This window comes from Homo sapiens, chromosome 7, assembly GCF_000001405.40.
Source record: "Homo sapiens chromosome 7, GRCh38.p14 Primary Assembly".
NCBI classification, from domain to species: Eukaryota; Metazoa; Chordata; class Mammalia; order Primates; family Hominidae; genus Homo; species Homo sapiens.
The window spans coordinates 108,233,445-108,258,773 of NC_000007.14; the positions used below are offsets into that span (position 1 = coordinate 108,233,445).

The following is a 25,329-nucleotide window of genomic DNA, read 5'->3' on the forward strand; positions in this document are numbered from 1 at the left end:
ACTTCCATCCCCCAAACAAAATATTATCTATCACACTCCATATATCAACAATGCTGAAGAGGATAAATCCTGTTTTATGGCAAGTTACAGAAGGCATTAATTGTGAAACTGAAAGGAAACCTCATCAAGGGATACCACATCAGGCCTTCTGCGAGAGAGGCTTTCCATTAACATAGCCGAATATATTATTTTGAGGCAAACCTTTGCTGGAAGTTTTGACATAGTACATATTCTGTCCCAGTTAATTTTTTCTCAGGGGCCAGTTTGTGATAATTTAATAAGGTCTGTAATAGACAAACCTGGAAATAAAATAACTGGAAACTTTCACTACTTTATTGCTTAAAAATCCACATTACATTTTAATAACAATAACCCAACTCTCCAAAACTTCCATATATGACTGGACATGTTACAGATCATCCGCTGTGGGGCCTTGAATAAGTTACTTAGCATTACCAGGCATCAGTTTCCCATCTATAAAATGTATTGGTTGGACTGGGTTATCTCTAATATCTCTCCCAACTCTAAAATGCTTTGCAGTGATCTAAAATGCTATGCAAGATCCAAATGGCATGAATTCTCATGACTGAACTCTGCCAAGTTTGGAAAACCATTTTAGACTATTTTATAAACTGTTACAAAGACAGCAGAGATCTTGGAAGTCATCAAATTCAATCTCTTTATAGATGAGGAAATTAAAGCCCAGAGAAAAGGGATTTGCCTGTGCCTTATGGCCATTAGTATCAAAATCAGAATCAAAAGGCTCTTTCCATAACTCCTCACAATTTATAAGCATTTTGCAGAAAAGCATGGGCACAGAAATGCAATAATCTGGGTTTTCAAGAAGAAAAAATGGGCTCTAATTAAGCAGAGAGACAAAACAATACACCTACAGGTGAGACTTTAGGGATATGCAGGACCCAAGAAGTTACCTTCAGTATCTTTGAAGGGCTGAAATGGGCTGGGATAGATGAACCAAAGGGCAATCTAGTGAGTCACAGTGAGAAATATCCAACTGAAAAAGGAAGTGCTCTACATAGTCTGCCTTGTTTGATGGAAATTCCCAAACATATTTCTCTATTCAGAGAGATTTCCTGATTTATTCTCAGTACTATAACAAAGCAGAATGCACACTCACCTTGGGGGCGGTTTCCCTTTGGCTTCACACTGGATTACAATATTCTCCCGAGGGTCAATAATGTAATCTTTTGGAGACTGTTGGGTGATGGTTGGAGGCTGTACCACTTAATTGTAGAAAAAAAAAAATGTAAAAAAACAAATTATTTAAAATCATAATAGTAGCCATTTTTTCCTGTATCAAAATCACTTACCTTAGACTAAATATGCTTCAAGTATTTTTAGTAATTTCTAGTGTAGCAGCATATACTTCAGTAGATTTTTCTGCTAAAGGTCTGCTAAAACTGTGAAGTCAAGGTTTAACTTTCTTTCGGTAACTATGTGTACTTGCAAAGTCCATTTTCTCACACTAAAAGTTTGGGGAAATAATTATCAATACAAACCTAATATTAAGACAGTTTCTTTTCTGATGTAACAATGAGAAATTCTTTTGATTCCTTTGGTTCAAATGATGTTTTTCAAAGGAATTTAAGTTATGATAAATTTGCATCTTTCTTAAGAAAGAGTAACAGACTTAGGTCATTAGTGTGTGCTCATATAAATCAATATATGTTGGGGACAAATACATTTGAGAAGTTAATATTAAACAGACTGTTAAACTGGAGATGTGACATCTCTTATCAGAGCCAGGAGGTAAGTGAATGAGGAACAAAGATAAAAGAGTCTTATTTAGAAGATAAATGGAATTGAGGAAGTTCTCTGTCCTAGGAGACAGTGTTCCCATTTACTCTTCAAAGTGTTATCTGATCTTTTATTATCAAATCCTATGGGGAAACTGTTCTGACCCAGAACAATCTAATCTGAAGAAACCTGTATCTGGACCACTAATGCTCTTCAAATTGTTCTAAAATCACCATGTCCTTCTTCTTGTGAGATCAGAATTAGTGTTATGACAGGAAGTGACTAAAGAATAATTTTTTACAACCTGTTTTTTCTTACTCAGTGCAGCAAAATGGCTTGACTAGGAAGGCACAAAGCAGAGACCTAAACTCTCTCAACTGGCTCCTGGTAAGAAGCCACTGCTTGCACAACTCCATGGAGAGCTGTTTACACAGACCAGTGGTTCTCTACCAGAGGCAATTTGTTTCCACCCTTCCAGGGACATTTGGCCATATCTGGAGGCCATTTCAATGGTCTCGACTGGGGTGGTAGTGATAGTGGTATCTCGTAGATAGAGGCCAGGGATGTTGCTAAACATCTAACAACGTACAGGACAATTCCACACAACAAAGACTTATCTGGTCTCAAACATCCATAGTGCTGAGGCTGAAAAGTTCTGAGGCAGACGACAATGTGCTTGGCACCCCTGGAGCTGTGCAATGCAGTGGCCATACCACAGCACCTTTCCTCTGCATCTGGGAAATTCCCCCAAGGCCCTCTCTTGGATTCTCACTGTTCTTTCCTTTCCTGCTGCATTTGACATTCTGGCTCATTTAAGTTTTTCATCTTCTGGATCTTCCCTTTCCTCTCTGCCCATACCTCTGCTTCCTTTGTGAAACTTCTTCCACTTGCCAACCAAACATTTCTCAAAGCTCAGTAACTGCCCACTGTTCTTGTCTCTCTTGTGGTTAATTGTTGCTAGAGCTAAATGTATCACCTCCACATCTTCAGTCTTATAAATCTATAAACCCGGTTGCGTCCTCTTCTCTTGTCTTCTAGTCTTATTGCCATCCACAAGACATCTTTTACTAAATATTCAAATAACAGCTAAAGTACAAATCAAAAGCTAGCCTCATTACTGTCATCATTTATTGTGTACTATTATATGCAGGGTACTGGGCAGTGTCAGTTTCCCTTCCCTTTGGAATATCCCATCCCCCTCCTTGTCTTTCCAGCTGCCCTTCCCCCCTCCGTCATCCATATGGAATCCTCATTTTTCTAGCCTTGTCAGTTTCCAAGGTGGCCTGATTGTTAAGCACTAGTCTGTTTCTTACTAGCTGTGAGATTTCAAGCCAATTTCTTAACTTCTATAAGTCCTAGTTTCCTGAGAGGGAAAATAAAGTTTAAAAGTAGTATTACCACCTAGGATAGCTAGCAGGATTAAGAAAATAATTACTATAAAATTCTCAGTGTATACCAATGTTATAATGGTTCAATAACATCAGCTATTTTAAAATTATTATCATAATCATTTTTTATTTGGACCAGATTCACCTCTGAATGATCCTTCAGGCTCTGGGAGTATATAGAATTTGGGATAATGGAAGGAAGCCTGGAATTCCACATCCAAGGAATAGTGGCCATAGGGAGTGGGGGAGGGGATTCTTAGGAGTGACTCAGTTCAATTCCTTGTGCTTTTCTGGGAGTGACACAGGTGCAAATCTGGTGGCTTCAGAGGCAGAGCTTCTATTCACAGGTCTGCAGCAGAGCTGGCTCAGATGTCACTCCTAACTGCCAGGAGTTTACTGTCTGGATATACCTCCTTAAACAGTGCTTGGGTCACCTGCTAATTAACAAATGCTTTTCAGTAGTAAGAAAAACAGTGATTTTACATAATTTTCCTGGTTAATCTAACATCAAAGGAAATTATCAAATGCCTGAAAACTGACTATTTTTAAACTAGGTGATAAATGCCACCTGTCAAAGGCAGTGGAAAGTTTTGCTCAGAGCAAGCCATTCAAATACCATGTGAGTGGGAGCTGCTTATCTTTTGTCCACTTCAAGACAAGATTCAAATTCGCTGGGTTAGTCTACTGATGGCACCTAGAAATACTAGTCTACATAGTCACGAAGGCTGAAGAAGCATAAAAGGACATACAGCTGCCATCTTGTGTAAAGCTTTTGCCTGCACCCACCTTCTAAAAGACACAAAAAGACCTATCTTTGTTCCAGAAAGCATTAATTAGCCTTTACAACAGATCAGCATTCTCTCTAAATTTTGAGAATTTTCTCATTGAGTTACATCAGATGTGAATAAAGCTTGGAAGTTAGTAGAGCAGCACACTGGTAAAAGAAAGAGTAATAGCCAAGTTTTCAGAATTCATGCAGATAATACTTTACAACTGCTTCTTGGTATTGAAATACAATGTTTAGCTACAGTAAACACACATGCTTAGAAAGACAAAGGTCACAAAACATGAAATTGTGCATTTAAATCACAATATTAATTCAAAAAGCAAAGACATGGTCACATTTTCACACTGCCTAGTAATTTATAGAAGGACACTTACAGTCTTCAAGAAGTTTTGCTTTTTCCCCATCAATATCAGCAGGTAAGTGGGCAAAGAGGATTAAAGAAAATCAGATGTTAATAATAAGAACGTTAGAACTCTGAAGATAAAGGGGGCATCTTGTCTATTTGATTTGATCTAAGAAAACCTGTATAGTGAAGGTTGAATTTGTGAAGTTGCAAGACGAAGAAATTTGCATTAACGGTTTCCTTTAATCTTGCAGCAGCTTTCCCACATAAACATATGGAAGAACAAAAGCAATGCTGTAGGCAAACGAGTTCTTCCAGGAATAGGAATAGCGAATTCCATTCCATATATGTTGTGTTGGACAAGTAATTATGTTCAATTTGAAAAACAGCTGAAATCTACAATTAATTTGAGTTGTCACATACTGTGTAGTGTCTGGTCATATTATCCCAGACATCACTGTGCATATGGTAATAATACCTAACAATGGGACATTGCTACAGTGATAATGCTCCATGCAAGCCAAGTCCAACACTAATTTTAGATTTTTATATTTCTATGGTTAATCTCCAAAGTCATTAATTGAACTTTTTAGACTGTTAGCAGATTTCTGCTTCATAATTTCTCAATCACTCAGGGGTTGCTGGTGCCCACACCAAGGACTTGTTCATGTAGTAGAGAAACGATGTAAGAAATAGGGGCAGGGAAGAAATTACATTAGCATGCAATTCAAATCATTCCACAGTGCTGTCTGTCGTTACTACTTGCAAAGGTTAATATAGGAGCACCTGGGTTTTTCTGTGACTTTCTTTTCATCATGGTTATGCCTCTTCTCCGTTAGCAGTGATAATTGAGTTAGCCATAGGTGACTGTTTCCCTCTGCTTGACAGATTGAACAGTCAGATTAAGGGGGAATATATTTAATATAAGAGAGAACAAAAGCATTTCTCTCAAATGTTTTCTTTCCCTCCTGTGTATCTGTCAGGGCAAATGCTTACTTAGGCATTCCCACTCCAATGGGCTTAAGCAATTGTATATTTTTTTGAAAATTGAAATTAAGGTCACTGGATGAATTTTTTTTAAATAAGAAAAGCACTGCATTTTATTGAACTTTATAGAAGCACAGCAAAAAGTCAACAAAGTGTGGGACAAACCACATCTCTTCTTAATGTCTTCCCACTGGCAGTTGCAACCTCTATGGTAATAATAAATAATAATAATAATAATAAATAAATAAAAATGACATCCCAACAATTGAATAGCCCCAGGAAAGTGCTATCTTCCTTGCACCTTGGAAAGCTTGCCAAACAGATATTCTATTCAGGAAGCTAATGGCTTCAAAGAGGTCATGCAGATGAGGGATAAAGGAGAAATCGATTCTGAAGTACAGTAATTGTCCAGATTTGAAATTTTGCTTTCCATTTGCAGGAAAAGTGACTGGGTGGAACCTAGCATTATCTTTATTTTTCACAAACAGGCCACCCAGAGCAGGGAGAGCACAGTATATATTTACTACTAGGAAAATGGAGGGCTAATACAGTAGCTGTTGTTTGCTCCATTTTAGTGCTTTGCATATTACTTGTATTTTTAGCAGTTGCATTTTGGCATTTGACCACACTGTTTAAACCAAATAAGACTATTTGTTAGGCTCTAGATAAGATACTTTTCCTAGTTCTAGACTTATATTTAGGATTCAAAATTGGAAAGTGAGATGCGCCTTGTCTGAATCAAGAGAAATGAATTCTGGGGTGGTTTAGGGATTCCGAGGGGCATGGAGTTGGCAGAAGGAGCCTCCCCTCATCTTTGCAGACCACCCTCAGCATATGACGGGAAAGAGTAAAGTGGTGAAGGGATGAGTGGGGAGGTCTCCATGATCATTTTAAAGTGGCTCATATAGTTTTCTTGCAGGACTGCTTCTCTAAAGAGCCGCCTGTTGGGAAGATCAGGCAGCTTGCACAACTCAATCCTTCTCAGGCCATCCCCAGCAGGGCAGACAAAAGGCACCTGAGGGGGAAGAAGGAGAATGACAGGGAGGGAATTGTGAGTCTGACCATTTCAATGGCCACTTCTACAGTGTGAATCTTTATAAACACCAGGTGCTGAAGGTAAAAGCCAAATTAATTTTGATTAGCTTTTCAGTATCACACAGACACCTTCTCCATTCACGCAGTTCAGAGTGATGATAAATGCTGGGAGGCTTTGACTCCTGGGCCTAACAGCTTTAAAACGTTAATACTTACGATCAAGAGGTACTTCCAGTGCACTAATCATCTGGCACAGGAAGAGAATCAGGGGCACTCTGCCCGCAGATAAGCGCTTCTTTTTCGGCATTATTTTAAGCTGCATTAGCTTAACTCCTGCTGAGACTCACACACTGAATTTCCTTTTCTTCTTTCACAAAAGATTTTGTGAAACGTTGTGTGCAACGTTTAAGTAATTTTCATGCGGGAAACTGAAAAAGGATAGAGTAGGAATAATAATTATAATGTATTAAAAAGAAGGAAATGAAGAGCGGAAGTCTGCAGCACAGAGAACTAGCCGTGTATTATACATGAACTCTAAAAGAAAGTTAACTTTTAAATATTTAACTCTCAAAACTGGAGTAATCATTTATTCATAAATCAGCTAAAATCAGTTCAGAGATATTAGTAGTGATATGAAGCATAATCTGTCTACCATCCTTATGATTTTTCCATTTTAAATGGTATTTGTATTATGAGTGTTCAGAGGCTATCGTGTCTTTCCCAACAGATCAGGAAAACTTGGCTTTTAAGCTGGTCAGCAAGCAATCACTTTGTGACTTTAGAGGGGTAGCCTAATGGCTTCTCCATTCTACAGATTATCTCTGGGAAAGTTCAGGGGATTGTTGTAAATTTGCTTCAAAGCCAAAACACTAATTTACCAGATGAGCACTGACTATTCAGGTCTTCCCCATCTCCCACCTAGATTATAGCAACAAACCTAGCTGGGCTCTGAGTTCGGGCCTTCCTCCCTGTAGTCACCCTCCTTCACAGTGCTGATTAATTTTTTCTACAAGGCCTTTTCTGGTTAAATATTGGGAGTAGCCATATGTGATCCCTCAAAGAAAGTCCAATGTATCTTTAAACAAGTACTTAAAAATCTCAGTGATCTGGGCTTAATTTCTCCTACAAACCTGATTTCCTTTTATTTCCATATAACCATTTTTTGGTTTGATGATGCATTTCTGTTTTTCTTTCTTGTGTCAGTCCTTCGATATGCCTCAAATTTTCCTGCCTTCTTGTCTTTGTTTATTCTATTTCATTTGCCTTTATCCACCATATTTTCTTATCAAAGTCCAATTTATTTCTTATGGATCAGTTAAACGGTCACCTCCAGGAAACATCAGCTGATCACCCGAACTAGAAGTTATTTCACCACCACCCCTGAATTCCTGAAATTCCTTGTTGTAAACATCACATACATAGGTAGATATATATTAATAAATAGACTGTGTGTATACACATATTGCATACATGCTCTCTACTCCTCCAGGAAAGGACTGTCTCTCTCATCTTTGTAGCCCTCTCCCAACACCTAATACAGCCTGCCTTGCATATTGGAAGTGTCCATTGCAAAATGGAGAGCATGAGCACAAACATATTAATAGAAGATTGATATCCATCCCACAGTAAACTCCTACCTGAAATGATAGGTTTAATCATGTCCTCTCATTCATGAAGAGAAGTGGGGCAACCAATGACTCTCTCAAGAAGGTGGGAGGGATGTTATTATTATAAACTGCTGTACCTCCCACAAGTTGAAGTACTGAATTATTTATGTAATTTTTATTTGTATGATTGTATATTTTACGATGTCCATCTTTTCCAATAAACTGCAAGTCTCCTCAGGGCAGGGATGGCATCTGTCCTATCCCCCACTGCATCCTCATAGCCCATCACAGTGCCTGGCACATGGTAGGTAGTAAATAAATATTTGGAGGAAAAAAAAAGGAAAGGAGAAAAGGGGAAAGAAAAGACTTTACAATCTTTGAAGCTGAGGTTGCATTTGGATAGTTTGACTATGATCTACCCAAGGCTGTATTTATATTTATACTGCTTGGTTTAAAAACCAACCTCTTGTTAATATGATCAAATTAGTTGTACGATCATGTCTCTGTGTGGAATAGTGCTTAAATGTTAAAAGGAAAATGAAATAATCCTAATAACATATTTTGCTAGCAATCAAGTTCTGATTTGAACATGATTAAAACTGTAGTAGGACACTTCTTGCAAAACAAATTTTAAAAGAATATGCCAGGCCAGGTGCGGTCATGCTTGTAATCCAAGCATTTTGGGAGGCCGAAGCGGGTGGATCACCTAAGGTCAGGAGTTTGAGACCAGCCTGGCTAACATGGTGAAATCCCGTCCCTACTAAAAAATGCAAAAATTAGCCAGGCATGGTGGTGGGTGCCTGTAACCCCAGCTACTTGGGAGGCTGAGGTGGGAAAATTGCTTAGCTGCCGTGAACCGAGATTGTGCCACTATACTCCAGCCTGGGTGACAGAGCAAGACCCCGTCTCAAAAAAAAAAAAAAAAAAAAGAATGTGCTAAACATAAAGATTATACACTTACATAAATATTATTTTGTGAATAAAACATCCATATTATTTGGCTTCATTTGAGATCCAGGAAATGTCTTTCCATATTATAATATCCAAACATTCATATCCATTAAGCATTGAGACACAGGTATAGAAGCTCACTCAACCATTTCTGAACAAATACAAACCAGACTATCTTTCTGTGTGTGCAAAGCACATCTAGATCATTTAGTCAAATTTAATTAGGTCTCTCGTGAGTTTTTGGTTGAAACACTAATTTTGAATTCACATAAGCTTTAGGGAAGTTAAAAATAAACGTCACAAATAGCATTGAAAACATGCGGATCTTACATATTATACATATTGAGATAAAACAAAAGAACCAAACTCTGAAAAGGAAAATGGTTTATTTGTCTGATTTCTGTGTCATGCTAATGGAGATTATTGGACTTAAGTGCCAAGTTCTCCAGACAGAGGCTGGAGAACTAATATACTTTCCAATAGATGTACTAATAAATTGTAACACTTGTAAGATCTTAAACAGCTACATACAATTTCTGTTGTAAGTTCTTCATGTATTTTGTCTGGATGTATTAACTATTCACCCTCCAATATAGAGAAAATCATTAGACAAATTCATATAAAAGAAAGTATCAATCAAACTCTATGCTTTTTCAGAGTATACATGGAGTAAACTATTACACATCAAATCACAGTGTTTTATAAAGAAAAAAATCGCATTTTTAAGAAAAATTGAAAGCACTTACTTAAAGAGACATGAGTTAATAAATCCTCATACTGCTGGGAGGTCATGAACTACGATAACTGAAGATGGGGGTTCTCCTCAGAAGTTTTAAGTTAAACTGCACCATTAGCCACAAATCGTCTCTAGTGTAGATTCTGTTAGAGGAGGACGAAGCAATGGTCCAGCCCGTCCTCTGGCTCCTGCCCATGGAAAATCACCCACTCTTGCAACGTATGCCCTTATAGATGAAAACCCAAATGCCTAAGGACAGCATTAAGTCCCCAGCACTCAATCAAACTGAAAATCAAATAGAGCTACAGAAGACTGAGATTTCTCTCGATGAGAGTAATGTACTCTGCACACTGCACAAAGAAAAACCACCGCTTTGCACTCTTGATATTGACGTCAATTCTTTGACTCAGTAGGAGTCCATCTGCCTTGTACTTTACCTTGGAAAATGATGGTCATTCTTCATTAAGTGAGAATCATGAACTAAAACTAAATTGTTAATGTAATTATACTACAATGAATAAAATCCCAATTTGAAATAGCAGCATGATTTTTAATCAAGGCTAAGGAGTATGTTAGTGCAATATAGCTTACAATGTACAAAAAATATTTGCCAGATATTTTAAAGCAGGATTGAATGAGATAAATGGTAGATTCGTCTTCTGAAAAATAGATCACCCTATTTAAAATCACACATATTGCTAAAAGGACTGAGAGTAATGATAAAGAGCAAAGCCTTTTCATATCTCATTTAATTTAACTCCATTCAAAGCAACTTTTCGTATGTTACCTATAGAACCTGTGAAACAGAAGGGGGAAAAATTCCCTTCTTTGATAAACTTTTCATCATTGAAAAGAAATGCAATTCAAGGTTCCCTTATTTCTTTTGCCTCAAATTCATATTAAATCACAGAGCAAATATTCCCCTGCATTACTTACTATGTATTTCAAAAGAAAACCCTACAGTTTTGACAAAGGATTCACATCAAGCCTGAGAGAAACAGCTCTCCTGTTGCTTACTTAAGAAGTCTTGTCTTTAGAAGGAAAATAAAACCTTTCTTTTTCTCTCAAATGAAGGAGGAAATTATTTTAATGAAAAAAATCAGCTCTCTACCAGAATTTGAAGGCCACGCATTACTCGCCATTTCATTCTCCTCTATTTGGGCTTTTCAGCATCCCAACATGGGTGGGTTCCATGCTGGTTGAACACATAACATGATCTACACTCTCCAAGCAGATAAACAAATATGCTGATGTGACTAGATGCCCTTTGACACACTAACTATTGCTCTGATGCCTCATCAGTGGCTCGCCTCAGTGACTGGATAACTAAGTGGGTAGGACATCATCTTGACTGTGAAAGACATTTTTCAGCAGTCAACTTGGGGATGGTCACTTTTTATATTTTAAATATTTATCTTAAGGAAGAAGTACACAAATGCACATCTCTAGCCATGCTGTGCTTTTCAATCACAGATTTTAAGTCTGAGACTGTGGAGGAAAGGTTAGAGAGAAATGGACAATGACGACTAATAATTAACACATCAACAGAGTCAATTACATCTACACCACTACACAATCATTAATGCACCTCAGAAAAAAGTAGTCCGGGATAATAGGACTATAGAGATGATAATGATCAAACAAGACAAACTGTGAGAAGCTTTAAGGACCACGTTTCTAATTTCCTCCTAGTCCAAAGGAATCTTCCACAGTAGAGGCTCTACCAGGAATGTAGTAACTAGAACCTGGACTAGTACCTAAGGAATGGTGAACAATAAACAGGTGGTTTTTACCCCAATAACAGATAATGGAACAACATCCTGATAATAGCTCAAAATCTCTACTCCTCAGAGCACTATAACTAATGATCTTATTTGATATTCATAAAAACCCCAGAAAACAGAAAAACAGGTATTTCTACCCATTTAACAGACAAGAAAATAATCCAGTCCTAATGGCTACCATTCACTGAGCCTTTTCTATGTGCCAGGCACAGCGATGAGTCTCCTCCAGGCATTAACTTATCTTCCCAACAATTCCAGAAGGTAACTTTTATTACATTTCTTAACTTACTGATAAGGAATTCAAGGTGTAGGATGGTGTCACCTGCTTAAATGTCACGTGATATGTGAAGTACCAGATCTAGAGCTCCAGTTCCGGAAGGTTCTGGAGCTTTTAGCCATCTCACACTGCCTCACCCCGAGAGGTCCCTAGCATTTCCCTCCCTCCTATATCCTCTTATTTTTTAATTAGTCAATAAGCAAACAGAATTACCAAGTTTAGTTACTGATGTTAAAAAAAGAAAACCTCTAACGGTTTCTGAATATCTATAGAAGATCTTCACAGTGTTGCCCATGGCACAACTTTAGGAGCTTCTTCACACCAGATTCTATGTGAATAGGACCCCATGGACTTCTACCACATGCGGGCCCTGGCCTTCTAAAGGAAGAACAATTTAAGACTATGTAGACAAGATGTACTTTAAAAAGTTAATTTTAAAAGTAGGCAGTGTGTGTACATGGTACAATATTCATAAAGTACAAAAGACCACAGAATGCAAAGTAAGCAACCAGCAACCCCCTTTCTCCCTTAGGAAGCAGTCATTATTACCAAGTTTTGTGAATCCTTCCAGAGAGAGTTCAGGCATAAAGAAACATAAAAATATATTAAGCAATAATTTAAGGACATTTTAGATTTAGAAAATTATTAAAAAGCTTTTGGGACACTGACATTAGATTATCAAAGATACCAAGGTCTTTTGGAGTGAAATCCAGTTATTTGCAACACACATGATCATCTGAATACAGGATTTTTCACATCTCTTTTACTTAGCACAGCAGTAACAAGAAAGAAAATAGAACAATATGAGGCAATGATGTAACTGAGAGATCTAAGACAAATGATGAAGCATAGTTAATGAAAAGCTCATGTGTGTGAGACTAATAGCAACCCTGACCAAGGATGGCACCTGTTCCACACTTTCCAGGCTTGTCCAGCCAGCTATCTGATGACAGTTGTCAGGATTGGCTTCTGGGATGAGAGAGCTGATTGGAAAAGGAAAGATGGTTGGGGAAAAAGAGGAACGAACTAGTTCTTTGCAAACGAAAGGGAATTTCCTTCTTTATCCCACCTTCCAATCCAATCACAATTCACTAAACAGAGTGGGGAGGAGACTGCTCCACTCTGAATGCCTGCCATGCTCACAGTCTTTCTTCTGCATTGACCTCATCACTCTGACCAAGGCAAAAAGAATCAGGGTGGGTGTTCAGCCTTTGTCTGAACAAAGGCAGGGAGCCATGTAGAGCCTGTGAGTTGACTTGGCTGCTTGTGAGGCACTGAAGAGTGACCAACTAAGTGGTAACAAATTCCTTTGTCATAGAGAGGGTGAATGTGAGACAGAGAGAGAGTGAGTCAGCGGTTTGGAGCAGGAACAAAAGCCAAAGGTCAAATAGAGGCAAGGCAGTAGGAGCAAGCATGAGTAAGCAAAAGATATGAGGCATCCAGTGCAGAATGAAGCCAGTGGGCAGCAGAGGATCAATAGAAACAGAAACAGAGAAGAGCTGAGTGGCCATGACATCACCAGAACACTGGATAGGTGATAACAAGCACCTACTACTCTTGCATTATAATCACCAGGCCTGTAAATCTCTTGGTACCCCAAACAATGTTCCAATTCTCTGTGAAGTTTGCCACACTAGTGACTGAGGTTGAGACATCTTCCTGTCCTTCTCCAGTCTTGTGTATTCTACAACAAAATTTCATTAATATGGCAGGTAGACTGTTGCATTGGTGGCCCCAGGAAGCACCCTTCCCAGTATCCATGCCCTTGCATAGTCAACTCTCACAATGGCTGTGGGCTTGGCCATGTCACATGCTTTGGCCAGTGGGATTTTTAGCAAGCAATATGTGAAAAGAGGTGTGATGACCATTTGCACACTGCAGCTTATCCTCTTGTAATGTTCCCTCTGGGAAGTATGAGCCATACTACTAGATGATGAGAAGCCAGTGGAAAGAGACCCTGGGAGATGAGAGACCATCCTGGACTCTCTGGCCCCAGCTGAGCTCCCAGCCAAAAATAGCTGAGCCAGTGACTTTTTAAACTACATGCAACAGAAGAACCATCCTGCCAACCCTCAGGATTATAAGAAATAATAAACTGTTGTTGTTTGAAGTCACAAAATTTAGGAATGGTTTATTATATAGCCATAGATATCTGCAATAATGAATTAAGATAAACTGAGATTGGCTCTTTCTTGCAACCAGAAACATACTAACATGCACATTTAGGAGGACTGATGATCCAAATGTGCAGGTCTCCTTACAAGGTCATGGCCGAACCTAAATTAGTAAATAGTGTGGCAATGTAGACTTCTCTTCAAAACTAATCTATCCTTTTTGGTTTTTCTAGATACTTCTCTATATATATGTTGGTGCAGCCAAAGGGCACATACTTAACTTACATTTCTCACACAAAACTTATAGTCAGAATAAATAGAAGGTGGTTAACACTGACCATTATTTTAGCATAAATTTGTTTATGCTAAATTATTTTAGCATAAATTTGTTTATGCTAAATTATTTTAGCATAATTGTAAATTATGCCTAATTTATTGTCTTAGGCATTATACTAATTTATTTCTAATGCAGAATAGCAAAGATTAAGGTAGAGAACAGGATGAGAGAGTCCAATATTGTTAGTCTATCCCTCCTACTTCCCCATCTCCGTGAATCATACTAGAACTCTGGCTGAGGTCAGCCCCAGCTTCTATTCTTCTCACTCTCCCACAAGACAGGTAATCTGGAGAAAGGGAGGAAAGAGGGGCAAGCCAAACCACAGGGATAGGCCTCTTCCTTCCTCACAAAGTCCACTTCTCAGCTGATTCCCTTCACATTAGAAAACAGAAACAAAGTTCCATTTAAAAACAAAAATGGAAAGTAGGAAACTGCTCTAAAAGTGAGGTCTGAGAAATGAAAATTTAATTCTGAATATGGGTCTTCAGAGCAACACATTCAGAAACATTTGTGGAGTCACTGAAACAAGCTCTAGCTCTATTTATCTTCCTGTAAACTGAGATTTCTACAAATAGCACTGAGAAGATGTAAGGATTGGAAACAGTTTATTAAAAACTTCAGCAAAAAAGGCCCTTCAGGATATTGATATTCTAAACATGCTATACCTTATCCACTTGTCAAGAAAGCAACACATGGCAAAATGGCAGCCATTTAATAGTAAAAAATAGCATTTTGAAATGCCAGGCAGGCTAGTCACTTTGAAAAATATTGTGTCACATTTCAAAGGTAAACCCTGCTATGCTTGCTGAATGGTATGAACCAGTTAGGGTAGGGACGCAGTGTACAGGTCAAAATCTCAATGTGTACTCCTTTCCTAATGAGTGTGAAGGGTAGTAATGCAAGGAGAAGAGAGAGCAGGAGAGAGAATTAACCTCATGGTAGAAGTCCATGGGGTACCATTCACATTCTACTCCAGTGAGAAATTAACCTAGAAGTCTCAGTGCTTAACATAATACAATTGATACTTCGCCTGTTCTATCATCCAGTGTGGGTGTGCAGGCACCTCTGCTCGAGGCTGACAGAGGTGCCACCATTTTGTGATGCTGCCAACTCAACAAATGTCTTCCAAAGTCCCCATGCTCTCCTGCTTTTACCTTCCTCCAACCAGAAGTGATGCACACAACTTTTGCTCACAACCCATTGACCAGAAGTAGTCAATGACTCCAATCATCAGAGAGTCTGGGAAATGCTGGGGTGTGGGTGGAATATTTAGTGAGCACTAGTATTTCTGCCACGGGGAGCATGGCCTATTCACAATCAATCTGAAGTGCTTTTTCTGGAAAGAGTTTCAGAAGTGACATCCTAGAGGATGGCCATCTTATTGTTTCATCTCGGCGATTAGTCAGGGAGCAGGATGATGATGATGATGATGGGCTGTGTGGGTGCTAGCTAGTTGAAGCTACCTCCTCTGTCTTCCTCCCAGCTGCATCTATGAATCATTCTTTTCTATAACTTGTGCTCCCCGCAAACAAGGGCCTGAGCATGTGTGTTGGGGAGGCAAAAGGCTCAGATTTACCAAACCCAAAGGGCATCACTCCCAACATGTCACAGATTACTACAATCTTCCCAGCCACATTTCAAAATATATTTTGCCAAGGTATCCAGGCTCTCTGTAATCATAACGGAACCAAGAAAATGAGAAATAGAGATGGACATGACATGAAGAATTGTATATTCCACTTGCTATCAGTGCAGGGGAAGGTATATTATCACAAACCAAACAGCTGAAAATTCTTCATTCCAGCCAGAGGCTGTTTCATATAAAGAACAAATCTCAGTCACTTGCTGACATGCATGTTGTATTATAAAGAACTTAACAGCAAAACAGCAGAGTAATGCATGAAATATTTAACTCCTGGTGCATTTAATTTTCTTTATACAGGCTATGTGAATATCTGCCTTTATAAAAAAAAATAATCAACGAGTGGCCATTTGTTTGCAAGAAAATTTATCAGGTTTACTCCAAAGAGCATCCCTCTCCCAAGCATTTAGAATATAAATCAGTTTCTTGGAAGTTAAATATTAACTCCTCAGGAGACCATGTCCTCTGTGAAAGGTAAGTACACAAAAGCATGAATGTTAGAAACAATGTTCTCTGTACTGTGAGATTTAATCAACCCAACAATTTAAGAGCTTTGGCATATTCTGCTGTCTCTGCTCAATTCTGCTGTCTATGACTTCTCAGGAACCCCTTTTTCTATAAAACCACACTCTCTTTTCAGCATCATTTAAATGGACTCCATAGAAAGAATATATTCCATTGTGATGATTTAAAAGAAATGTCAATTCAAAGAGCACTTTAGGTAGAAATACAGCGACCATACAACCCACAATTCCACTGCTCAGTATATACCCAAAAGAAGGGAAATCAGTGTATTAAAGAGATATCTGCACTCCCATGTTTGTTGCAACAATATTCACAATAGTCAAAATTTGGAAGTCATCTACGTGTCCATCAACCCATAAATGGATAAAGAAAATGTAGTACTTATATATAATGGAGTACTATTTAGCCATAAAAGTGAATGAGGACAGGTCAATAGCTCATGCCTCTAATCCCAGCACTTTGGGAGGCCGAGGCAGGTGGATCACTTGAGCTTAGGAGTTCAAAACCAGCCTGGATAACAAGGCAAAACTCCATCTCCACACACACAAAAAATACACAAAATAAGCTGGGCATGGTGGCGAGCACCTGTAGTCCCAACTACGCAGGAGGCTGAGGTGGGAAGATGGCTTGAGCCTGGGAGGCAAAGGTTGCAGTGAGCCAAGATCGTGCCATGGCACTCCAGTCTGGGCAACAGAGCCACATCTTACCTCAAAAAAAAAAAAAAAAAAAAAAAAAGAAAGAGAGAGATCCTGTCATTTGTAACAACAAAATAAGCCAGGCACGGAAATACACACATCACATGTTCTCACTTATTTGTGGGATCTAAAATTCAAAACAACTGAACTCATGGAGGTAGAGCAGAAGAATGGTCACCCGAGACTCGGAATGGTAGTGGGAGGGTGGTTGGGGTGGAAATGGGGATGGTTATTAGGTACAAAAAAAAAAAATAGAAACAATGACTAAGACCTAGTATTTGATAGCAGAACAGGGTGATTATAGTCAATAATTTAACTGTACATCTTAAAATAACTAAAAGAGTATAATTGGATTGTCTGTAACACAAAGCATAAATGCTTGAGGGGATGGATAACCCATTTTACATGATGTGATTATTACGCATTGGATGCCTCTATCAAATCATCTCACACACCCCATAAATATATACACCTACTATGAACCCACAAAAATTAAAATTAAAAAAATTTTTAAAGTTTTTTAAAAAAGAAAAAATAAAACCAAAGAGCAGTTTGAAATGTCCTCAGGTAGAAGTATTTTCGGCCAAAGTATCTAGCCTCCTAGAAGAGTCAGAACAGAAAAACCTCTGGTTTTTATTAAAGTTGGTTGATAAGAATGTTAAACCTAGAATGACTGCCTCTCTGTGTCTTTTCAGTTTAATTTTCATGGGCAATTTTCTGTGAGTAAACTGAGCATTTATTTTCTAAAGATAAATATTTGTACCCTCCGGAAAGAAATATGGGGAGTAAGAAAAAAGTGAGATAAGGAGGACAAAGAAAAAGCAAGGAAAGAAGAAATGTTGTAGAAGTAATACATTTCCAAGTTATGTTGTGTTTATTCTTATCATTTTTCTTCAGAAATTGTGATAGTTCACAAATAAACTGGGTTAAAATACTTACAAAAATAATTTCTTTAAATATATTAAAGGAATCATAAAGATTTCAAGAAAACTTTACTAGAAGATGCCCTATCAGGGCTTATGCTTTGAAGGTGTCTCAGGTCTGCCTTCCTAGACTCAACAATGAATTATGAGAGCCAAATCTGCTATAATAGAAATGGAGTCAAATAATCCAGCCACCAATAATGATGGTTACTGAGATGCCAGCACAGAGGGAAAAACCAAGACCAGAAATGGGAAGACAGCTAAAAATTAGATCCTTTGAGGCTGCTGGTTGTTGGGTCTAGGCACAAGCAGGCATGGGAAAGTGAGTACCAGCCACATGGTGCTGTCTCAACCAAGGGAAGAATGAGGTGAGCAGGCCATGCAAGTCTGCCCAGTCCCCTCTCAGACAGGAGTGGGCTTGGGCCTCTCAGCTGAAGTTGAGCAGTGGTTTCTGGGTGCCATCACTTGCTGCACCTGTGTCCAGTGGGGCCAAGTTGGATAATATGAGAGGCAACATTTTGGGGAGAAGGTGATTCAAAAGCCTGGCAGAAGTGAGCTATGATTGCATCACTACACTCCAGCGTGGGTGACAGTGCAAGACTGTTTAAAAAAAAATTAAAAACAAACCAGAAAACAGAAAACAAAAGCCTGGCAGAGCATCCAACAGAATTTACAAATGAAAGGATTGGGTAAAGAATGAAATTCAGGGAGGTGGCATCAGAAAGAGTACCAGGGAGACCACTAAGACTAAGATTTGAGACCAAGGGATGTGGGAGATGGAATCTACAGACATCATTAGAGCTGGATAGAATAACTGCATATAATTTTTATGAGGTATTGGGTGTGGGTGTTGCTCAGGAATGGGGAGAATAAATGGCTAAAGGTCCTGCTCCTGCGTGGTCAGCTGGCTGAGGATTAAGCAGGCAAAGTTGGGTGGTTTCTTGCCTGCCAAAGTTGAACGCACCTCACTGAGCAGCTTCTTAAAAATGTCCAGTTAGTCTGTCTGAGGAAGGCTTTCCAAATTTAGGTTTCTGTCTCCTTCGAGAATTTTAAATAAGACTATTGTAGGCCCTTGCTAGAGTATAAAACACTAATTGTTGTTCTCCAACTCCTCTCACAAGCCTTGCAGAGAAAACAGTTTTTATTTTTTGAAAGATCTGAATGTATTCTATTCTATTCACATGTACTCCCAAACCTAAAATAAAAGTTAAAAAAATACCCTTCCAGAAATAGCTGCAGAAGGCCTGTTAATACTCAGCAGGAGCTTGGTTTTAACTTCTGATTTTTATCAAAGTTGGTTATAAGAATAGGAGATAGATAAATCTCAGTGTTTTCTCTGTCCATTTAACTAAATCAAGACACCTAGTTCTTCTGTACAGATTTTATAAATTGGACTAAGCCATCAGACAAGCTATCAAGCAAGATGCAGGAAAAACGGTCACATTTGAAAGAAGTACTTTGGTTTGAACTGAGAGCAAGGGTATGGATGGAGACGAGCTGTTCTCTAAACATTTCTGCGAAAATTTTGCCCAAGATGGGGAAGCAATTGATAATAATCTCTACATTGCATGCTGAACATTTTAAGTGGAAGGCAAGCCTACAAAATTGAGAAGAAAGTGCAGGCTACTCTGCAGAGGCAGGAACGTCTGAGCGGACTTTCAGACCAGGACATATCTAAAATGACAGAACTTAAAGGGAAGAGTTGTCATTTTTACTTAGAAGCTTTAAAGCTGCAGCATTATCTCAGCGTCTAAGGCACTTAGAGTTCTTTGTAGGAATGGCTTCAAACATTTTATTAACAATATTTATTGGACACCCATGAAGTTTTAGATGCTAGGGGGGATTCAAATATGAATTCAACATAATTCACGCCCTTGAAGTGCTCAAAGCTGGGCTTGGGAGCAGGCAGTGAGCTGTATGAGAATATAACTAAATGCAAAACAATGTGGTAAGTGCTCCACCAGAAGCTGGATCTAGGCCCTATGGGAGCAGAAAGTAAGATGTATCCAATTGTGTTCAAGAGGGAAGAGGAAAGACTCTGGGAGGTGAAACCTGAGCTCTACCTTGCCCTGGAAGAGTAACAGTAATACTCCAGGGAGAGAAGAGGGAAGCCATGAGTAAAGTCCAAGCGTATAGTGTGTTTCTGGCAAGTGCCCAGAAGGGGATGAAGGATACTAAGTGAGGGTGATGAGGCAGAAACGTAAAGTTGGTGCCCGTTGTAAGGGGGCATAAATGCTGTTATTGAGTTTTGTTTTTATGCTAATATCAGATGAGTTTCAAAGTGCCAAGCTGGGTAAGTGAGTTAAAGAACTTTTCTTTCAAAAGGATTATCAAGAGTGCCATCTTCTCATGCACAGAGTGAAATGTGCAGGGAATTTTAGAGGATTCAATTAAATTTAACTCAATCACCTGAAAATCAATTATGTACAGATGGATGGATGCCTGAGACTGGGAGTGGTCAGAGAGGAGACTGATGGCAAATAGGCATGGGGGAGTTTTTCTGAGTACTGTGCTCAGCAGCAGGGATGACAGAAGGTTGCTGGGGCCAAGTTACAATTATTTACAATGACAACAATATACTCAGCCTCCTGCTCCTATCACTACCCCAACCACGAAACCACAAAGCTACCAGAGACTGCCAAATCCCTGGCTGTGGCGTCCAGGCGATTGTTAATTATTGTTCTAAAGAATAAAAGTCAATAGTTTTTCAATCCTTGGCATAAAACATAAGAGAATATCTCGCAACCTTAGTTAGGTAAATTTCTTAGCTATGACACCAAAAGAAAAAAACTGATAAACTTAACATAATCAAAATTAAAAACAGTTGCTCTTCAAAAGAAACCAACAAGAAAATGCAAAGACAAGCCACAGACTATTTACAAATCATATATCTAATAAAGGACTTGTATCTACAACATGTAGAAAAACTAAGAAGACAAAACAAGTCAATAAAAAGATGGACAAAAATTTCATTAGAGATTTCTCCAAAGAAGATATACAAATATCTAACAAGCACATGAAAAGATGCTCAATATCATTTATCATTAAGGAAATGCAAATTGAAACCACAATGCGATACTACCACACACCCACTTGAATGGCTGTATTCAAAAAGACTGATGATGTCCAGTGTTGGTGAGGCTGTGGAGAACCTGAAATCCTCACATATTGCTATGGAAACATAAAAACATATAGCCATTCTGAAAAAACAATTTTGCTTTTTTTTTTTTTTTGAGATGGAACTAGCTCTGTTGCCCAGGCTGGAGTATAATAGCGTGATCTCAGCTAAGGGCAACCTCTGTCTCCTGGGCTCAAACCATCCTCCCACCTCAGCCTCCCAAGTAGGTGGGACCACAGGCATATGTTCTACCATACCCACCTAGTTTTTTTTATTACTTGTAGAGACCAGGTTTCACTATATTACCCAGACTGGTCTCGAATTCCTGAGCTTTAGTAATCCACCCACCTGGACCTCCCAAGTGCTTGGATTAAAGGCATGAGCCACCATGCCCAACCTGGCAATTTCTTAAAAGTTAAACACTCACTTACCATACAATCCAGCAATTCTACTCTTTTACCTAAGAGTAATGAAAACATATAACCACACAAAGACTTGTACGCAAATGTATATAGCAGCATTATTTATAATAATGAAAAATTGTAAACAGATCCAATGCCCATTAACGGATGAAAGAATAAGCAAAATGTGGTATATTCATATAATGGAAAAGTATTCAGCAATAACAAAGAATGAACTACTGATATATGCAACAACATGCGGCATGGATGAAACCTCAAAACTATGCTGAGTGAGCCTCTCCCTCTCCCTCTCCCCCTCCCCCCCCTGCCCCTCCCACTTTCCACGGTCTCCCTCTGATGCGGAGCAGAGGCTGGACTGTACTGCCGCCATCTCGGCTCACTGCAAACTCCCTGCCTGATTCTCCTGCCTCAGCCTGCCGAGTGCCTGGGATTGCAGGTGTGCGCCGCCACGCCTGACTCGTTTTTGTATTTTTTGGTGGAGACGGGGTTTCGCCGTGTTGGCTGGGCTGGTCTCCAGCTCCTGACCGCGAGTGATCTGCCCACCTGGGCCTCCCGAGGTGCCGGGATTGCAGACGGAGTCTCGCTCACTCAGTGCTCAATGTTGCCCAGGCTGGAGTGCAGTGGCGTGATCTCGGCTCGCTACAACCTCCACCTCCCAGCAGCCTGCCTTGGCCTCCCAAAGTGCCGAGATTGCAGCCTCTGCCCGGCCGCCACCCCGTCTGGGAAGTGAGGAGCGTCTCTGCCTGGCTGCCCATCGTCTGGGATGTGAGGAGCGTCTCTGCCCGGCCGCCCATCGTCTGAGATGTGGGGAGCGCCTCTACCCCGCTGCCCCATCTGGGATGTGAGGAGCGCCTCTGCCCGGCCACGACCCCGTCTGGGATCTGAGGAGTGTCTCTGCCCGACCGCCACCCCGTCTGGGAGGTGAGGAGCGTCTCTGCCGGGCTGCCCCCTCTGAGAAGTGAGGAGCCCCTCCGCCCGGCAGCCGCCCCGTCTGGGAAGTGAGGAGCGTCTCCGCCCGGCAGCCGCCCCGTCCGGGAGGTGGGGGGCAGCCCCCACCCAGCCAGCCGCCCTGTCCGGGAGGGAGGTGGGGGGCAGCCCCCGCCCGGCCAGCTGCCCCGTCCGGGAGGGAGGTGGGGGCAGCCCCCGCCCGGCCAGCCACCCCGTCCGGGAGGTGGGGGGCGCCTCTGCCCGGCCGCCCCTTCTGGGAAGTGAGGAGCCCCTCTGCCCGGCCGCCACCCCGTCTGGGAGGTGTACCCAACAGCTCATTGAGAACGGGCCATGATGACGGTGGTGGTTTTGTTGAATAGAAAAGGGGGAAATGTGGGGAAAAGAAAGAGAGATCAGATTGTTACTGTGTCTGTGTAGAAAGAAGTAGACATAGGAGACTCCATTTTGTTCTGTACTAAGAAAAATTCTTCTGCCTTGGGATGCTGTTAATCTATAACCTTACCCCCAACCCCGTGCTCTCTGAAACATGTGCTGTGTCCACTCAGGGTTAAATGGATTAAGGGCGGTGCAAGATGTGCTTTGTTAAACAGATGCTTGAAGGCAGCATGCTCGTTAAGAGTCATCACCACTCCCTAATCTCAAGTACCCAGGGACACAAACACTGCGGAAGGCCGCAGGGTCCTCTGCCTAGGAAAACCAGAGACCCTTGTTCACATGTTTATCTGCTGACCTTCCCTCCACTATTGTCCTATGACCCTGCCAAATCCCCCTCTCCGAGAAACACCCAAGAATGATCAATAAATACTAAAAACAAACAACAACAAAAAAAACAACTATGCTGAGTAAAAGGAGCCAGACCCAAAAGACCATCTATGATTCTACTTATATGAAATCTTTAGAAATGCAAAAGTATAGCCAGCATGGTGGTTCATACCTGTAATCCCAGCACCTTGGGAGGCCAAGGCGGGCGGATTACTTGAGATCAGGAGTTTGAGACCAGCCTGGCCAACACGGCAGAACCCAGTCTCTACTAAAAATACAGCCAGGTGTGGTAGTGCACGCCTATAATCCCAGTTACTCTGGTGGCTAAGGCACAAGAATCACTTGAACCCGGGAGGTGGAGGTTGCAGTGAGCCAAGATGATGCCACTGAACTCCAGCCTGGGTGGCAAAGGAAGACTGTCGAAAAAAAAAAAAAAGAAAAAGAAAAAGAAAAAGAAAAGAAGGAAGGGAGGGAGGGAGGGAAAGAAGAAAGAAGGAAGGAAGGAAAGAAGGAAGGAAGGAAAAGAAAAGAAAAGAAGAGAAAGGAAGGAAGGAAGAAAAGGCAAAACTATAGAATCAGAGAACAGATTAGTGGCTGCTGGGGCCTGGGGTAGGAGAGGAGACTGACTATAAACAGGCAGGAGGGAACTTTGTCAGTCGACAGTCATGTTCTGTAGCTAGATTGGGATGAAGTTTGCTGTTAAAAATGCACTAAAACTCACCAAACTACACTTAAGATGGGTAGATTTTGTGGTATATAAGTTATACTTCAAAAAACTATAAATAAGAAAGTTAACTGGAACATCCTGTGCTTTCCAAATCAAGACACCTTTCAGAGGATACATTCATAGCCTTTGCCCCGGGTAAGTGCTTTCAAATATAATACTCTAGTCCCAGTATAAATTCAATATACCTGTTTCTAAACACAGAGTATTAAGCGATACTGAGAGAAATGGCAGATATATTAGCATATGAATCTAAATGTATTATTGAAAGAGTGGTTTTAAGAGAAGTGTAGACAGCAGCCTACTCTAATGAAAATAAATGTCAATGAAAATAAGCTACATTTGTCATTTTCATGAAAAAATTATTTCTATCATCATCTGCAAATCAATTTCCTTAATAAGGGTTCGTGACAATTTTCAGGATTTCTTGAAATGATTTTTATGATATATTAAGACTCATTTCTACATAACCTTGATTTCAAATCAAAATTGCTTTTAACTTCACATTCACAGGTATGTGAGCTATTAAACCTAAGTCAGGCAGAGAGGATCAGTTTCATCAAGCGTCTCAGATGAGAGCGTTCACACCCTTCTCTTCTTCACGTGCCACACTGCCTCCTCTTTGTCTCCACTTCACCGGGCATGCTGAGGATTATGAACACTTTTCAAAGTCAACGCTACTGACTTCTATCTTCCTAAGCAAAAATAAGCCACCAAAAGTAGAGATTTATAAAAGAAAGCAAGCTCAGACTTAGTTTCTGAGAAGTCCATTTCCTCACACAGAGGAGTCTGGGTCTCTGCCTGTTGGAGGAGGTGGCTGTCTGTGTGCTCTGATGGAAATTCTGCCAGTTTCCTTCAGCAGTTAACACCCTCAGCTTCAGGGCCGAAACATGCTCCAGGTTGTCCTTTGGCTGAAAGCCCGCTAAAATGGCAATAATTCCCTCTGACCACAACAGCCTTGCGTGTGGTGCTTTCTCTTAATTATTCCTCCTGCCCCTGGTCCTTCAGCTCCACATTATTCCCACTCTCCAAAAATTCTATTCTTCACTTCCTTCTCTTTCCAGCTTAGGTCCCATGGGCCACCCTTCATTTTTCTGACCAGCCCTCTCAACTCCTTTTCCTCCTTCTTTTTACACCATACATTCTTGTCTAGGGAAAGACCCCAATTCAGAACAGTTTTGCCTATAAGGACATGAAGCCCAAATTTCCCATGTGACAGACCCACGTGGGGGAAAATGATAAAGTAAAAAGAGGATAGGCTGTTGAGTCAGAGCCTAGCTTAAATCCTGGTGCTGTCACCTACAAGCTGTGTTGCATTGGTTATGTTCAACAAGCTCTGTGTGCCTTAGTTTCCTCACCTGTAAAACGGGGCTAATTTACCTACCTCCGGGGCTGTTGAGATAAATATGGAATGAGCATAGCGATGTGGCAGGAGCTTAGTGGACCCTTAGTAAATGGTGACAAAA

At 40.3% G+C, this 25,329-nt stretch overlaps 1 protein-coding gene across 107 annotated transcripts in view, besides 1 other annotated feature; it reads right to left on the reverse strand.

Annotated features, from left to right (window-relative positions):
• NRCAM (neuronal cell adhesion molecule) overlaps positions 1 to 25,329 on the reverse strand; it is a 309,072-nt gene that overhangs the window by 85,796 nt on the left and 197,947 nt on the right. For 66 of the 107 annotated variants that reach the window (NR_163867.1, NR_163869.1, NR_163868.1 and 63 more), the window contains 3 exons: positions 6,515 to 6,726; positions 4,308 to 4,325; positions 1,139 to 1,244 (listed from right to left, as the gene is read on the reverse strand). Coding sequence is in view for 91 of the 107 variants with exons in the window: in NM_001371122.1 (NP_001358051.1) it covers positions 1,139 to 1,244; positions 4,308 to 4,325; positions 6,515 to 6,620 (230 nt within the window). In the remaining 16 variants the exon portion in view is untranslated. Of the gene's footprint in view, positions 1 to 1,138; positions 1,245 to 3,291; positions 3,581 to 4,307; positions 4,326 to 6,514; positions 6,727 to 7,935; positions 8,200 to 9,602; positions 9,942 to 25,329 lie in introns of those variants that run through there. The other 41 variants (NR_163870.1, NR_163871.1, NM_001371151.1 and 38 more) reach the window with 9 other exon arrangements.
• Positions 12,438 to 13,637: an enhancer, noted in NCBI's record as "P300/CBP strongly-dependent group 1 enhancer chr7:107886326-107887525 (GRCh37/hg19 assembly coordinates)". NCBI's record gives its function as "activates an origin of replication core promoter dependent on BRD2, BRD4, P300/CBP, MED14 and CDK7 cofactors, with strong dependence on P300/CBP, by STARR-seq in HCT116 cells {active_cell/tissue: HCT116}" and the evidence as "EXISTENCE:reporter gene assay evidence [ECO:0000049][PMID:35650434]".